General features: G+C 42.4%; 1 protein-coding gene across 2 annotated transcripts in view, besides 3 other annotated features; it reads left to right on the plus strand.

The window, feature by feature from the left end:
* Window positions 6,034–6,563: an enhancer, noted in NCBI's record as "H3K27ac hESC enhancer chr3:179065206-179065735 (GRCh37/hg19 assembly coordinates)". NCBI's record gives its function as "activates a minimal SCP1, AML or CMV promoter by ChIP-STARR-seq in naive and primed H9 embryonic stem cells {active_cell/tissue: H9 hESC(naive and primed)}" and the evidence as "EXISTENCE:reporter gene assay evidence [ECO:0000049][PMID:30033119]".
* MFN1 (mitofusin 1) overlaps window positions 6,325–16,710 on the plus strand; it is a 47,228-nt gene continuing 36,842 nt past the window's right edge. Inside the window, exons 1-3 of one of the 2 annotated variants that reach the window (NM_033540.3) lie at window positions 6,325–6,426; window positions 7,461–7,579; window positions 10,516–10,651. In NM_033540.3, coding sequence (NP_284941.2) covers window positions 7,468–7,579; window positions 10,516–10,651 — 248 coding nt within the window. In that variant the 5' untranslated portion in view covers window positions 6,325–6,426; window positions 7,461–7,467. The remainder of the gene's footprint in view (window positions 6,427–7,460; window positions 7,580–10,515; window positions 10,652–16,710) is intronic. The other variant, XM_005247596.5, reaches the window with a different exon arrangement.
* Window positions 6,617–6,776: a silencer, noted in NCBI's record as "silent region_14917". NCBI's record gives its function as "represses an Ori minimal core promoter by ATAC-STARR-seq in GM12878 lymphoblastoid cells {active_cell/tissue: GM12878}" and the evidence as "EXISTENCE:reporter gene assay evidence [ECO:0000049][PMID:35858748]".
* Window positions 6,897–7,116: an enhancer, noted in NCBI's record as "active region_20866". NCBI's record gives its function as "activates an Ori minimal core promoter by ATAC-STARR-seq in GM12878 lymphoblastoid cells {active_cell/tissue: GM12878}" and the evidence as "EXISTENCE:reporter gene assay evidence [ECO:0000049][PMID:35858748]".

Consider the following 16,710-nt stretch of genomic DNA (forward strand, 5'->3'; position numbering starts at 1 on the left):
GGCCTTTGGTATATGATTAGGTCAGGAAAGTGGAGCCCTCATGAATGGGATTAGTGCCGTTAGAAAAGGGATCCCAGAGAGCGCTCACCTGTTTTCCATGTGAGGATACAATGAGAAGTCAGCAGTCTGCAACCTGGAAGAGAGCCTCACCAGAACCTAACCATACTGGCACCTTGATCTCGGACTTCCAGCCTCCAGAACTGTGAGAAATTTCTGTTGTTTATAAGCCACTCAGTCTATGGTACATTGTTATAGTAGCCTATATTGACTAAGATAGAGTAGATTTGTTTTGATTCTTCCTTCCGTCTGTTCTCCAAACTCTTAAAATAAGTTACTCCCTTCATGCCATATCCCACATCACTTGCTTGTATACCGTGTAAATATTTTATATATACCTGCCTGGCATCAGTTTGTGCTGATTTTGTAAATTTTGAATGTGTTTGTTTTAGATTTTAAGCATAACATTATGGCACATATCTTAATAACTTTTTATGGTTACAATATTCTGGTTAAATTCCTTATGGCATTCATCCATTGTTAGTGAGCAACTAAGATGCCGAAGAAGAAGGACCTAACCTAGAATGACAGAATATTAGATCTGGGATGAACCTTAGAGATATAGTCTAGACTCAAAAGTGAAAAACATGTAAAAATAATTGTGTCCTGGGTGTCACCACAGGCTCACTCCTGTAATCCCAGCTCTTTGGGAGGCCAAGGCAGGAGGATCACCTGAGGCCAGCCTGGGCGACATAGTGAGATCCCACCTATACAAAAATTTAAAATAGCCCTGGGCGCGGTGGCTCACGCCTGTAATCCCAGCACTTTGGGAGGCCGAGGTGGGCGGATCACGAGGTCAGGAGATTGAGACCATCCTGGCTAACATGGTGAAACCCCGTCTCTACTAAAAATACAAAAAAAAAAAAAAAAAAATAGCCGGGCATGGTGGCGGGCGCCTGTAGTCCCAGCTACTCGGGAGGCTGAGGCAGGAGAATGGTGTGAACCCGAACCCGGGAGGCAGAGCTTGCAGTGAGCAGAGATAGCGCCACTGCAGTCCAGCCTGGGTGAAAGAACAAGACTCTGTCTCAAAAAAAAAAAAAAAAAAATTAAAATAAAATTAGCCAGGTATGGTGGTGTGTGCCTGTAGTCCCAGCTACTTGGGAGGCTGAGGTGAAAGGATTGCTTGAGCTCAGGAGTTCAAGGCTGCAGTGAGCTATTATTGATCATGCCACTGCACTTCAGCCTGGGCAGACAGAGTGAGACCCTGTCTCTAATAATAATAATAACAATAATTGTATATGGTATGTAGTTTTTACTTTCATCATTGTAAATTACGTGGTATAAAATTTAATTGGCATAACACTTGGATTCACGAATATTTTTACTTAGGAAAAAATTAACTTTTTAAGAAAAGCAAATTGGTGAAAAATATGAAGTAAATAATAATAGTCATACATGGATATGGAAAAAATTGGGTAGGTGATACATGAATGACTGAAATTGGAGAATACAGAATTCTAGACAAAACTGCTTGTTTATACTTCAGAAAAATGATCTTCTAACATCATTAGTCAAATGCTTTTTAAGGTAGAATAAACATGACAAACTCCCAACCACTCTTCAAATAATTTTCTTTAAAGTTAAAATGTGCTCTGTGTTTTTTATGGAATGTCATACCAACACTTAGAGAAAATAACATATTAAAAAATAAAGGACAAAAGCATATGACTCTGATTTGTAATCCCTGTTCAGTAGTAATAAATTGTGTGACTATGACCATGAACAGTAGATGTAATGTTACTAAGTTTTTCTTAGTCCATGGGTTCTGCAACTCCTTAAAACAAGCTTGTCCAACCCACGGCCCAACACAAATTTGTAAACTTTCTTAAAATGTTATGAGATTTATTTGCAATTTTTTGTTTTGTTTTGTTTTCGAGCTCATCAGCTATTGTTAGTGTATTTTATGTGTGACCAAAGACAATGCTTCGTCCAGTGTGGCCCAGGGAAGCCAAAAGATTGGACACCCCCTTCCTTAAAAACTTTTTTTTTTTTTAACCTTAAAAACTTCCATTTTTACAGGCTGGGCGTGGTGGCTCACGCCTGTAATTCCAACACTTTGGGAGGCTGAGAGGCAGGTGGATCACCTGAGGTCAGGAGTTCGAGACCAGCCTGGCCAGCATGGTGAAACCCTGTCTCTACACAAATAGAAAAATTAGCCAAGCATGGTGGCGGATGCCTGTAATCCCAGCTACTTGGGAGGCTGAGGCAGGAGAATCACTTGAATCCGGGAGGTGGAGGTTTCAGTGAGCCTAGATCGTGCCATTGCACTCCAGCCTGGGCAACTGAGCGAGACTCCTCAAAAAAACAAAACAAAACAAAAAGACTATTTTACTATGCTTCTATTTAACTAACAGCTATGGAATATCTACTATCAAGCCAAGTGCTCAGGAATACAAAGATAAACTATGGTTCTTGACCTCAAAGAGATTTACCATATAATGCAGGAAACTGTCACCTTTCTGAACTACAATTCAATTAAATATCAAATTGACTTTCATGTATCCAAGTATTTGCCTTTTGTATAATGCTACCTACCATACACGTTCTTGTCAGTTTTTTATATACTTGTGATTCAGTACTTCCAAAATATATGCAGAATGACTAAAGTTTATACTCCCATCAGCAAGATCATGTTTCCGCACAGGCTTATCAACAATATCATACAACTTTTAAATTTCCTGTAAATCTTAAGGTCATAAAGTAGTACATTATTATTGTTTAAATTTGCATAATCTGATTACTAACAAGGTTGAGACTATCTAATATGCTTATTAGTCATTTTAACTTTCATTTTGTGAACTGCTTCTCCCTATCCTTTGTCTGCTTTTCTGTTGGGTTTTCTGCTCTATTTTCCGAAGTTCTTTATTTTTAACTATTGATTTTTGTTGGCAATATATACTGCAAAAAATAGATTTCCTATGTGTCTGTTATGGATGACTTTTTTGAACAGAAATCCTTAAATTTAATGTAATAGATTCATCACATTTTCCCTTTACATTGTACCTCCTGTCTGTTAATTTTACAAAATTCTCTCCAACTAAAATGTCCCCAAATTATTTTCCTACGTTTTTTCCTAATTTTCTGGTTTTACTTTTCTTTTTTTTTTTTTTTTGAGACGGAGTCTTGCTCTGTCGCCCCGGTTGGAGTGCAGTGGTGAGATCTCGGCTCACTGCAAGCTCCGCCTCCGGCATTCACGCCATTCTCCTGCCTCAGCCTCCCGAGTAGCTGGGACTACAGGCGCCCGCCACCACAACCGACTAATTTTTTTGTATTTTTAGTAGAGACGAGGTTTCACCGGATTAGCCAGGATGGTCTCGATCTCCTCACCTCGTGATCCGCCCGCCTCGGCCTCCCAAAGTACTGGGATTACAGGCTTGAGCCACCGCGCCCGGCCTGGTTTTACTTTTCATGTTCAGGTCTTATACCCATCTGAATTTGTATATAGATATGATTCAAACTTTATTTTTGTTAATTAAATTGAACCAATTTCTCCAATGTGATAAAATAATTTATCTTACCCAGTGATTCATAATACCAATTTTATCATATACCAACTCCCCATGGACATAATTAGCATGTAAATCTGTGTCTTACACAATTACATTCCATCGTTTGTTCCTCCAAGAGTATCACATACTTTAATAGTAACAACATGCTTTAAATATTAAGAGTTGGGTAAGTATAGGCAGAGAACAAGGGAAATAAAGAGAAATGGTTGATAATTTAAAAAATAATAAATATTAGAGCTTTGCTTATAGCAAATAAAAAATAAATGTTAGGACTTATTATAAATATTAAACTTTAGCAAGTACTTCTTCTGCATGTATTGAGATAAATGTGGGTTTCCTCCTTTGGTCTGTCAGTATTATGGATTATATTGATTTCTGTTTGATGATTTCTGTATTCCTAGGAAAACCCTACTTGGATAAAAAAATAATTCTAATACAACGTTGGCCTCAGGTAGCTAATATTTCCTATGTTTGCCTCTGTAGTCCATAAGTGTGAATTTTTTTTTTTTTTTTTTCTGGAGACTGAGTCTTGCTCTTTCGCCCAGGCTGGAGTGCAGTAGCGTGATGTTGGCTCACTGAAACCTCCGCCTCCCGGATTCAAGTGATTCTCCTGCCTCTCCCTCTGGAGTAGCTGAGACTACAGGCACCTGCCACCACGCCTGGCTAATTTTTGTGTTTTTTATTAGAGACAAGGTTTCACCATATTGGACAGGCTGGTCTCGAACTCCTGACCTCATGATCCACACGCCTCATGATCCAAACTGCTGGGATTACAGGCGTGAGCCATCGCACCCGGCAAGATTAATCTTTTCGTTAAACATGTAATAGAAAGTTACCCCGAAAATCATCTAGACCTGGCTAGTTTTGAATATGTGGGAAACTTAGCCTATTCGAGTTTTCTATTTTTTCTCGGTCTAATTTTGGTATTTGATGTTTTCCCAGATTTTATACTTCATCTAAGCTTTTCAATTTGTTGGCATTTATATATATATCTATAGTTATTCTCCCCTTAATTTGTGTCCTTTCATTTTTTATGTTCTTGAACAGATTTGGCAGTGATACATCAAATTGATAATTTCTTTCAAATAACGTTAGTTTTTGTTAATATCTATGTTGGTTTTAGCGTTTATATTTTAATTCTTTTCCTTCTTTGTGTTTACTCTCCTGGCTTTTTGGTAATATGTGTGTTCCACACACACACAAAAGCAATGGATTAAATTTCTTATTACTTACTATATTAAACATTTAATTACCGTGCTATAATTTATAGCCTGTAATATGTCACTCTTGCTTTAAAATGCAGTAATTATATTAAATATAATTATTAAGTACAGAACTAATAAAAGGATACCATCATGATTTTTAAAATTCAAACAGAGTAAATGTTCCCTTTGAGACTACCTATGCTCAGAACTGATGGATTAGCTGGCACGACCCAGACCGATAAACTGGCTCATCTGACCTAGTGTCCCCCAACCCAGGAACTGACTCGTGCAGAAAGACAGCTTCCACTCCCTGCGATTTCATCCCTGACCAATCAGCACTCCTGGCTCAGTGGCCTCCCCCAACCCACCAAATTGTCCTTAAAAATTCTGCTCCCCAGTGCTGCTCGGGGAGACTGATTTCAGTAATAATAAAACTCCAGTCTCCCATACAGCCGGCTTTGCGTGACTAAGTCTTTATTTGCAATCCCCCTGTCTTGTATCAGTTCTGGCTAGTCAGCGGGCAAGGTGAAGGCTTTCCTTGGGCGGTTACCATCCGAAGCTTTAATTTTAAGTATAATGGCAAGCTGTTGGAAAGCTTTTTTTTTTTTTTTTTTTTTTTTTTTTTTTTTTTTGAGATGGAGTCTGGCTCTGTCGCCCAGGCTGGAGTGCAGTGGCGCGATCTCGGCTCACTGTAACCTCCGCCTCCCGGGTTCAAGCAATTCTCTGCCTCAGGCTCCTGAGTAGCTGGAACTACAGGCGCCCGCCACCACCACGCCCGGCTACTTCTTGTATTTTTAGTAGAGACGGGCGTTCACCGTGTTAGCCAGGATGCTCCCGATCTCCTGACCTTGTGATCCGCCCGCCTCGGCCTCCCAAAGTGCTGGGATTACAGGCGTGAGCCACCCCGCCCGGCCTGGAAAGCTTTTTAAGTTCGGAAAGTAATACGATCTGGATTTCTTTTCTTTTATTTATTTATTTATTTATTTGAAAAAATGTCTCGCTCTCTTGCCCAGGCTGGAGTGCAGTGGCACGATAAATCACAGTTCGCTGCAGCCCCGGGCCCAAACAATCCCCCCGCCTCAGTCTCCGAAGTAGCTGGGACCACAGGTGTGTGCCACCACGCCTCGCTAAGTTTTTAAAATTTTTTTAATTTTTCATTTTTTAATTTTGTAGAGACGGGGAGGAGGAAGAGGGTCGGGGGCGGGGGGGGGGGCGCCTCCCTATGTTGCCCAGCCTAGTCTCGAACTCCTGGGCTTAAGAGATATCCCACCCCTTCGGTCTCCCAAAGTGCTGGGATTATAGGCGTCAGCCACCACCATCATTGGAAGCTAGCTAAGCCTAGGCTGGGCAGATACTTGGACACTTTGAGGGGAGAAGGGAGGGGAAGAAGTTGGAAGGGGGAACGGAAAACCACTCTCCTGGTAGCAGTCTCTGCCCACAACAAACCTTGCCTTCTGCCCTTAAGGAAAATGGCGCCTGGCATAGATGCGCTTCCGGCCACGGAGCCAAACAGAACAGAGGAGGCAAGAGGCCGGAAGTGACCGCCCTTTGCCACTCCCCCTGCCTCCTCTCCGCCTTTAACTTCTCGGGAAGATGAGGCAGTTTGGCATCTGTGGCCGAGTTGCTGTTGCCGGGTGATAGTTGGAGCGGAGACTGTGAGTGCCGGCTGCCTCGACAGCACGTTTGCGACGCTCGGAGTGACCTTCGAGCGACTGGGGACCGGGGGCGGGAGTCGTGCATGCAGCGTTGTGTGACGAGGCGCCGCCCGCCGCGGTCCTGTGGGAAAGGAGAGAGCCAGCTGTCGGGCGAACGGGGCTGGCGGCCGAGTCGAGCCCACGGAGCCCACGAGGCCGTGCTCGGGGGTGGGATTGGGGGATCCGGACCTAGACGGTCGTGCGCGGGGCGGGGGTGGGCTCTGGCCCTGACTCCTGCGCCCGGTGTGGGAAGGTGGGAGGCCTTTTCTAAGGCAGGTGTTCACACCGGCCGGACCGGGGCGTTACCCCCACCCGGCTTTTCCCACGCAGCTCCTTCGCGCGGTCATTTCTTGACTCTCTGGAAGAATCCGCCTTCTTTATGGCCACTGTTCCTTTCCATGTACACACCAGGATTAGACCGTGATTGTTTGTCTTTGGTGTCTTTTTCTTGAGAAACCACCTATGCTTTCTTAAACTTATAGTCCTTGAAGTTTCTGGTACTTTGGCTGGAAGCGTTAATGCCCTCTTGAAGCCTTACCTTTCTAAATGTCAGCCTCACATTGTGATCTTAGAATTTTATTTCCTCACTCTGCATATCCACTCCTACTCACCTAGAGCTTCAGGTTGAGAAACTTAGTAACTTCCTTATTGTGTGTGAATTTGGCTTCGCCTCACTAACCCTGTTCCCTGATGTACTTTAGAGTCACATGCAGTGACAAACTTAGTCACAATTAGTTTCGTCTTCACCAAAGGGAAATTGAGTAGAAATTGCAACCAAGATTTTGGCTAATAGATTTCACTTATTTTAGTGAAATATCATTCAAAAGTCGTCTCTAACTGTCTGACTAGAACACTCCCAAAAAAGAATTACCTAAAAACATTTTGCCAGCATAATTTATTTCATTGGGGAGTTGATGAATGTCACTGGTGTGTCATCAGTTTGCATGTCTATCATCCACTTTAGTTGGTGCTTTTCTAACTTTATCTCCCTCTAGTAGCATAATGGCAGAACCTGTTTCTCCACTGAAGCACTTTGTGCTGGCTAAGAAGGCGATTACTGCAATCTTTGACCAGTTACTGGAGTTTGTTACTGAAGGATCACATTTTGTTGAAGGTTAGTTCTTCTTAAGTTTTTAAAGTAATTACTGTTGAAAATATATAAAAGTGCTTATTCTTTCAACGTTAGTTATTGAACACATGTATAGGGCATTATACTGTATACTATGAGAAGTACCATAATGAATAAAACCCCTTTCTAACCTCCAGAAGGGGAAAATTAAATGGTATTAATAACAACTAAGAACTTTAGTATATTAATAGCTCATTTAATTTTCATCACCACTAGGTGATGAGAAATAGCTATGTTAATAGTTCATTTAATTTTCATCACCACCATCTGTCATTTTAAAGATGAAGAGACGAAGTCAAAGAAAAGTTAAACAGTTTGCCCAAGATCACACAGCTAATAAGTGCCCAGACAAAAAATCAGGCAGTCCACATTTAACCATTATACTTGTCTCCTCCCCAATTTAGCAGTTAAGCCAAGACCTCAGACATATCTCATTCTCTCAAATGAGGCTGAATTGCAGTGGAAAGGGGGAAAAAGGAGTTTCATAACTGTTAAAGGTGATGAGGAATGTCATGTCTTACTAGGGAATACTTCTTTTTTTTTTTTTTGAGACAGAGTCTTGTCTTGTTGCCCAGGCTGGAGTGCAGTGGCATGTTCTTGGCTCACTGCAGCCTCCACTTCCTGGGTTCAAGCGATTCTTCTGCCTCAGCCTCCCAAGTAAATGGGACTACAGTGCACGTGCCACCATGCCTGACTAATTTTTGTGTTTTTAGTAGAGACAGGGTTTCACCATATTGGCCAGGCTGGTCTCGAACTCCTGACCCCATGATCACCTCTCTTGGCCTCCCAAAGTGCTGGGATTACAGGTGTGAGCCACCACACCCGGCCAGGAATCCTTCTTTGGAGATAACTGTTGAAATTTTTTCTGGTTCTTAAGATTATGTACCTCTCGGCCAGGCGCCCTGACTCACACCTGTAATCCCAGCACTTTGGGAGTCCAAGATCGGCAGATTACCTGAGGTTAGGAGTTCAAGACCAGCCTGATCAACATGGTGAAACCCTGTCTGTACTAAAAATACAAAAATTAGCTGGGCCTGGTGGCAGACGCCTGTAATCCTAGCTACTCAGGAGGCTCGAGGAGGGAGAATCGCTTGAACCTGGGAGGCAGAGGTTGCAGTGAACCGAAGTCGCCCACTGCACTCCAGCCTGGGTGACAGAGTGAGACTCCATTTCAAAAAAAAAAAAAGATTATGCACCTCTCAACTATACAATGGAAAGGGAGGGATTCTGTAAATTTTTCCAGCGACAGTGGGGAAACCTTTGGTAGATTGGGAATCAAACTTTTTTTTTCATGTCTCTCCCAACCCTCTCTTACCATATTTTGAGCTCCTTTAGGGCAGGAGCCTGGGATTCATTGTATTCCTAGCACCAGACTTGACACAATTCAATGCTGAATGAGAAAAAAAAAATAGTAGTATAGAATCTTTGTTTCCAATTAGGAAATAATTTGAGCTGGCACAGTTGACTTTTTAAAAATATTTTTTTTTCTAAAAATAATAGGAAGTGAAAATGAAGTTAAATGTGTATTGTACGTGTTATAGATCATGCATCATGCTAGGCACTAGTGAAATGACAGCTTTAGAATCTGAATTCAGTTGTACAGGTTTTAGAACCTCAGTAAAAATGTTGCAAAAAGGAGACAAAGCAAATAAATCAAGAAAAACATACAAGAGCAAAAATAAAATGAAAAGCAAAAATAAATGTAATGATACTTAAACCAGTCTGTCCGTTATTCACCAAATTGCACATATTTTATTAATGCGTTAGAAAAGTATGGTGAGATATGAGAAGCTTAATTGGATGTGCACTGGAGAAGTTTTAAGTGGCAGTGTTTGTCTCTAATTAGGGTCATTCAGATAGCCAGATGAATCTTTTTGTTTTTGTTTTTGTTTTTTTGAGACGATGTCTCACTCTGTCACCCAGGTTGGAGTGCAGTGGCACCATCTCGGCTCACTGCAAACTCTGCCTCCGGATTCAAGTGATTTCCAGCTAATTTTTGTACTTTTAGTAGAGATGGTGTTTTACCATATTGTTCAGGCTGGTCATGAACTCCTGACCTCAAGGGATCTGCCCACTTCGGCCTCCCAAAGTGCTAGGATTATAGGCGTGAGCCCCCACGCCCACATGAATCTTCATGTCTTTACCTTCAAAAAGAGGTGATAAGAATGTAAACATCAGGTTATCTCCTATTCCTGAGTTATAAAAAAAACTGAAAGATTTTTCTATTTTTCAAACCCAGGCTTTTTCAACTACCTCCAGCCATGGAGGAGAGGTGAGGGCTGGGATGTGCGGTTAAACCCTAAACCTGATAAGAGTGAAAGTGGGATACAATCTGATGAGATCGAGTGCATTCAGGGTGGTATGGCTGTAGATAGGATACAACCTGTAATTCTCTTTCTTCTCTGTCTTTGTGTTAAGTGAGCTGTTTCACCTCATCCCTGGGGGAAGCAGATAGAACGTGGTAAAGTAGCAAGGTCTTTCCTAGCTTGGAGACCTTGCACTGTATCTTAATTTCTGAGGGGCTCCTATTCAAACCTCACTTTTTTCTCTCAGTATGTGGCTCCCCCTTCTGAGCTCAAGATCTGAAGATCCATTCAGTCAGGTTGGAACAATAATAGGTCAGTGTTAGGTTCTAGTTTCTCTCTTTAGAAATGTATTCTTGTCTCAAGGGTAGCTTGTATGTTTGAGACCTAGAAGTCCACTTTTGACTGTGCCCTTGCAACTTTTAATATTCTTGAAATTCTTTTGGGCGGGATTCTTGTGACCCATTGCCACGGAGTATGCACCTTTTACCAAACATTGAGATGCTGTGGGTGGCATGTTAACATAAAGCAAAAATACATACAATCTTAGGTATTCCATTATATAACTAACTTAATATTCATTTATATCACTTTTCTAATGCCATTTCAATTTTGCAGCAACATATAAGAATCCGGAACTTGATCGAATAGCCACTGAAGATGATCTGGTAGAAATGCAAGGATATAAAGACAAGCTTTCCATCATTGGTGAGGTGCTATCTCGGAGACACATGAAGGTGGCATTTTTTGGCAGGTAATTATTTATTATTACTTCTAAGATTAGTTTCCAGGAATCAGCTTTGTGTCTGATGTTTCAACAAGTAATATTTCTCCCATCCTCCCCCAGCCCCGCAAGTTTCTGCCTGTGTTGAATGTTAAAGCTGTTAGCATGTGAAAGAATTTGTGCATTTTACCTCCTGGTATAAAATGAAGCTTTATGAAAGTCAATCATATTTTTACCTTTTAATGATTCTCATCTCTAAGAATTGGCTTGTAGACAGTTTTAAGAATGGAAATATAGATAAATGATAAGCATACTTTGTGTTTTACTCTTTTAAGTTTACTTGATTATGTGAAAGTTTCAGAAGCTAGGATGAAATCACTTTTGTCATACCTAGACAGGCCTAGAAGGAAAGAGGCTCTTGTCTGAGATAACTATTTCCAAGGACTTTCTAGAAATTCTTTCAAATCTCCTGCTTTGATAAGACTTATCAATAAACATACTTTAGGACTGCCTTAATTCAGATAAAATGTTTTCAGGAGAGTTCTTGCCCAGTAATGGCATCTCCGCCAATGAACTGACAATAACTGGCGTTGAACCTCTGGAACCAAATAACTCTTGTTTCTAGGCAGCTTATGTAAATCTCTTTTTGCTAATAGAAACCCCTCTTACCCTCACTGAATGCACTGGTATGCCATTCCATGCATTCCAGATTATAATCTTTATTTTTGATTCCCAAGTAAACTCAGCATTTTTTTTTTCCCCCTGAGAGGGAGTCTCACTCTGTCTCCCACGCTGGAGTGCAGTGGCACAATCTCGGCTCGCTGCAACCTCCACATCCCGGGTTCAAGCGATTCTCCTGCCTCAGCCTCCCTAGTAGCTGGAATTATAGGCGTGTGCCACCATACCTGGCTAATTTTTGTATTTTTAGTAGAGGTGGGGTTTCACCATATTGGCCAGGCTAGTCTTGAACTCCTGACCTCAGGTGATCCACCCGCCTTGGCCTCCCAAAGTGTTGGAATTACAGGCGTGAGCCACCGCATCCAGCCTAAATTTTTTTTTTTTTTTTTGAGACAGAGTCTCAGTCCGTTGCCAGGTTGGAGTGCAGTGGCACCATCTCGGCTCACTGCAACCTCCGCCTCCCGGGTTCAAGCAATTCTCCTGCCTCAGCCTCCCTAGTAGCTGGGACTACAGGCGTGTGCTGCCACACCTGGCTAATTTTTTTTTTTTTTTTTTGTATTTTAGTAGAGATGGGGTTTCACCATGTTGCCCAGGCTGGTCTCGAACTACTGAGCCCAGGCAATCCGCCCACCTCGACCTCCCAAAGTGCTGGGATTACAGGCGTGAGCCACCGCGCCTGGCCCCAGCATAATTTTTATATTTTTATTAGAGATAGGGTTTCACCATGTTGGCCAGGCTGGTCTCAAACTCCTGACCTCAAGTGAACCACTCACCTCGGCCTCCCAAAGTGCTGGGATTACAGGCGTGAGCCACTGTACCTGGCTAATTTAGAGGTGATTTTCTTTAGTGTCTTTCTTAAGTTTGACAATTATCTGGATTATGGCGGGGAGAAAAAGGCAGTGATCAGGTACGTCTTCCAAAATTTTCAACTCCATCATTCCTAGAGGGAGAGTAGGAGGCGTACATTGGTGTAACAGTCCAGAGTGATAGGGTGATCTCTGCCACAGCTTATATGCAAAGACAAATGACTAGCTCCATAACTGGTTATTCAGCTATCTGTGCTGTGTACCAACAGAGGCATTTATTTACTAAATAACTTCATAGGCCTTCTAAGCTATTTTCCCATCGTAGGGCTTTTGCCCTTGCAATTCCCTTTGCCTACAACTCACCTTTCCTTGTTGTAGCTACGTCTAGTGCCTTCTCATTCTTCATATTTCATCCTAAATGTTACTACCTTGGACACCTTCTCTGACCACCCTATCTAAATTATTCCTTCTCAGTTATTTTCTGTTAAAGCATCCTCTTAATGTCTTTCAACACTTTTCACAAAGCTCTTATTTTATGTTTTTATTTTCTGCTTCTCCCATTTGACCATATTCTCAGGGCCTTACACAGAGTCTGGCATGAGACAGCTCCATTTAAAAAGATCCTACTTCAGATTAGGGTGGAGTAGGAAGGAAGAGCCTCCTGGGAAGGTGATGACTCAACTGTCCTACTGAGAATGAGAAATAGGTATAGCTTTGGATGTGAAAAAGGTCCAAAAGCTCATTTCTTGCAGAAAGCCATAAATAGAAAGGGGTAGGGAGACCACAGTGTGTTTGGAGAACTCAAGTAGTTGAATTTAAGGTGTTACGAAACAATAGCAAAAGAAGAGACTTTGTAAGCAAAAGTCAGATTGTAAAAGACCTTGTATTAATATATCATGGTAAGGCGTTCTGCATTCTTTTATTTTGGAAAATAGTCCTGAGAGGATTGGATGTTACAATTATAACCTTAGATATAATGGGGAGAATGAATTGAATGAGAACAGGGGTAGGAGGCAGTTGTGATAATGTTACCAGAAAGGGGCCCCACTCCTAACCCCAAGAGAGGGTTCTTGGACCTTGCGCAAGAAGGAATTCCGGATGGGTCCATAAAGTGAAAGCAAGTTTATTAAGAAAATAAAGGAATAAAGAATGGCTGCTGCATAGGCAGATCAGTCCCGAGAACTGCTGCTTTGGTATTTTTATGGTTATTTCTTGATTGTATGCCAAACAAAGGGTGGATTATTCATGAGTTTTCCAGGTAACGGGTAGGCAATTCCCAGAACTGAGGGTTGGTACCTGTCCCCCACTTTTTCTTTTTTTGGGAGACAGAATTTCACTCTTGTCACCCAGGCTGGAGCGCAGTGGCGTGATCTTGGCTCACTGCAACCTCTGCCTCCCGGCTTCAAGCGATTCTCCTGCCTCAGCCTCCCTATAGTAGCTGGGATTACAGGAGTGCACCACCACACCCAGCTAATTTTTGTATTATTTGTAGAGATGGGATTTCACCATGTTGGCCAGCCTGGTCTCGAACTCCTGACCTCAGGCCATCCACCCACCTCGGCCTCCCAAAGTGCTGGGATTACAGGTGTGAGCCCCCGTGCCCAGCTGGTACCTCCCCTTTTTAGCCCATATATGCATCCATTCTGGATGTTGCCATGGCATCTAAACTGTATGTATTATATACATATAATATATATATTACAATGAGCAGTGAGGACGACCAGAGGTCACTTTCATCGCCATCTTGGTTTTGGTGGGATTTGGCCACTTCTTTTATCAGCAAGGTCTTTGTGACCTGTATATTGTGCCAACCTCCTATCTCATTCTGTGACTTAAAATGCCTCATCTCCTGGGAATGCAGCCCAGTAGGTCTCATCCTCATTTTAACCAGCCCCTGTTCAAGATGGAGTTGCTCTGCTTCAAACACCTCTGACAGTAGTATAGGCAGGAAATTGTGTGTGTTTAATACAACTATATATATTCAAGTATAGTTACCAAAAAGGCAGTTGGAAATATGAGACTTGGACTAGGGAGAATTCTAGGAAATTTAGGAATTATTGGCTTATGTTGGTGATTGAGATCACAGGAGTTGATGAGATGATCCAGGGAGAGTGTGTAATGAAAAACAATGACAGCACTGGGGAGAGGAAGAGGGACTATCCATGGAAATGCCAGCCAGGGGCCAGGCGTGGTGGCTCACACCTATAATCCCAGCACTTTGGGAGGCCGAGGCAGGTGGATCACCTGAGGTCAGGAGTTTGAGACCAGGCTGGCCAACATGGTGAATCCCTGTCTCTACCAAAAATAGAAAAATTAACTGGGTGTGGTGGTGCACTCCTGTAATCCCAGCTACTTGGGAGGCCTTGGCAGGAGAATCACTTGAACTCAGGAGGTGCAGGTTGCAGTGAGCTTACATCGCACCACTGCACTCCAGCCTGGGCCACAGAAGGAGACTCCATCTCAAACAAGAAAAAAAAATGCCAGCCAGGTAAAAGGAAAATTAGAAAGCATTGGTATGGTATAAAAAGAAATATATTTGATCTTTGTCCCATTCTTGTCACAGAGCTTCTAAAACCATAGGAATTCCCTGAGTGATTGGAGTATCTTGTTTTCATAATGAGCCCTTTTTAATGACAACTGAATTTATGCTAATGAGTGGTTTAGGGTGGGGTGCCTAGATAACCTCAGAGGGTGACCAGTCACCTGAAAGGTTAAGTGATCAGGGGATTAGAGGACTGGAACTTTCCTTCCCACCCACCCATTTCCAGGAAGGGTGGGGGAGGACAGGCTGAAAATTAGGCTTTATGAAAACTCTTGAACATGATTGGACTTCCAGGTAACTAAACTCATGGTTACGCTGGGAGAGTGGCATGCTGAGAGGGCATGAATGCTCAGGCATCTCATCTGTGTCACTTACAATATCCTTTATAATGAACCAGTAAATGTAAGTATAGTGCTTCCCTGAGTTCTGTGAGCTATTCTGACATTGAACCAAGATGGGAAGAGGTAGAAATGAATGATAGGACACCCAGTTGGTGTTTGCTGGAGAACCACTTCATGCATGTGGAAAAATCCCCATATATCTAGTTATGAAGTGTTCTGTGTTGATTTTGATAGTAGAGGAGAAAAAGTTTCTATTTCCACAGTTGTTTTTTTTGTTCGTTTTGGGAAGGCAGGGTGACAGTGTGTCTCACTTTAGTATGCATAAGAATCATCCCAAGAGCATCCCCAGAGTCTTGATTCTTTAGGTTCACAGTTCACTTGAGGAATCTGCATCATTAATGGGCTCCCCAGATGATTCTTATATGGGGTGGAGGGACCCAAACTGTAACTATAGGAGGTCCATCACCCAATGTATGCAGCAAGTTGATATGCTGAGACACCAGGTTGCAGCAGAGAAGAGGTTTAATCGTAGGGTCACCAAATGAGGAGATGGGGGGGAACCTTAATCCATCTCCCCAAGGAATTTGAGGTTAGGGTTTTTAAGGTTTTTGGAGTACCCAAAGTGTAGAGGTCGTTGATTGGTTGCAACTTGCAGAGTGAAGTCATGGGACAGGGAGATAATAAGGCTAGGCTGTATTCGCATGCTGATCCATATCATTCCTCTGTGGGGGGTCTTCAAACTGGTTGCTGGATCTGGGGGCCCAAAAAACATCTTAAGCTATCCTTAAAAGTGTTACGATTCTAATGTCAGAGCTCCTGTCTATAGAAAGAATGGGGGTGCAAATGGTCAGTATCTGGTGTTACATGACATTTAGCAACAAGGAAGTGGGCCAAAGTGCAGCCTGATTATTAATGAGCTACAGCCATATTTCTGTCCAGACCCCGGCATGTAATTCTTGTTAACCCTATGGGGATGGTTTCAGAACTACTCTTGAGGATCACTGCAAGGCTTCATGAAATGTCCAGAAAGATAAATCTTAAGAGAGATCCTAGGCATCCTTGCAGGATGTGGTATATTGGCAATAGAAGCCAATGTTGAGCTAATGAAGGCAAGAAGGTTCCCTGGGAAGGGAGTTGGGAATGATATCCATAACATAAAGAAAAGTTCTTTCCCTCTTATGCTAAAGGAAAGAGGTAAAACATATGCCGAAAAGATAGGATGCTTTTGCAGTGAACCAAAAGGCTCCCAGTGATATCTGGGACTTGGGTTGACTTAATGGAAAGCAAGTCCCTGAAGTGAGTGTGAGTTCTTTGCATTTCAGAGCCATCAAAAGTGTCCTTTTTCCTATGACTGCATAACAGATTACCCAAAACTTAGCAACTTAACAGCCATTTTATTATGTTCACTGATTCTGTGAGTCAAGAATACAGATAGGGCACAGCGGGGATGTCTTGTCTTTGCTCCATGGACTCTGGAGCCTTAACTGAGAAGATGTGAAGATTGGGGTGGCTCAACAACTGATGGTTGAAATGATCTTAAATCTTCACTCACATGTCTGGGACCTGGGCTGGAATGATTCAAAGACTAGGACTGTTGAGTAGAGCACTACTCAGAGCTCTCCATTTAGCTTGACTTCCTTGCAGCACAGCAGACTCGGGGTAAGTGGACTTTTTACATGGCAAGGCTCCAAGTGCATATATTCCAGGGAACAAGATAGAAGA

This window comes from Homo sapiens, chromosome 3, assembly GCF_000001405.40.
Source record: "Homo sapiens chromosome 3, GRCh38.p14 Primary Assembly".
Taxonomy (NCBI): domain Eukaryota; kingdom Metazoa; phylum Chordata; class Mammalia; order Primates; family Hominidae; genus Homo; species Homo sapiens.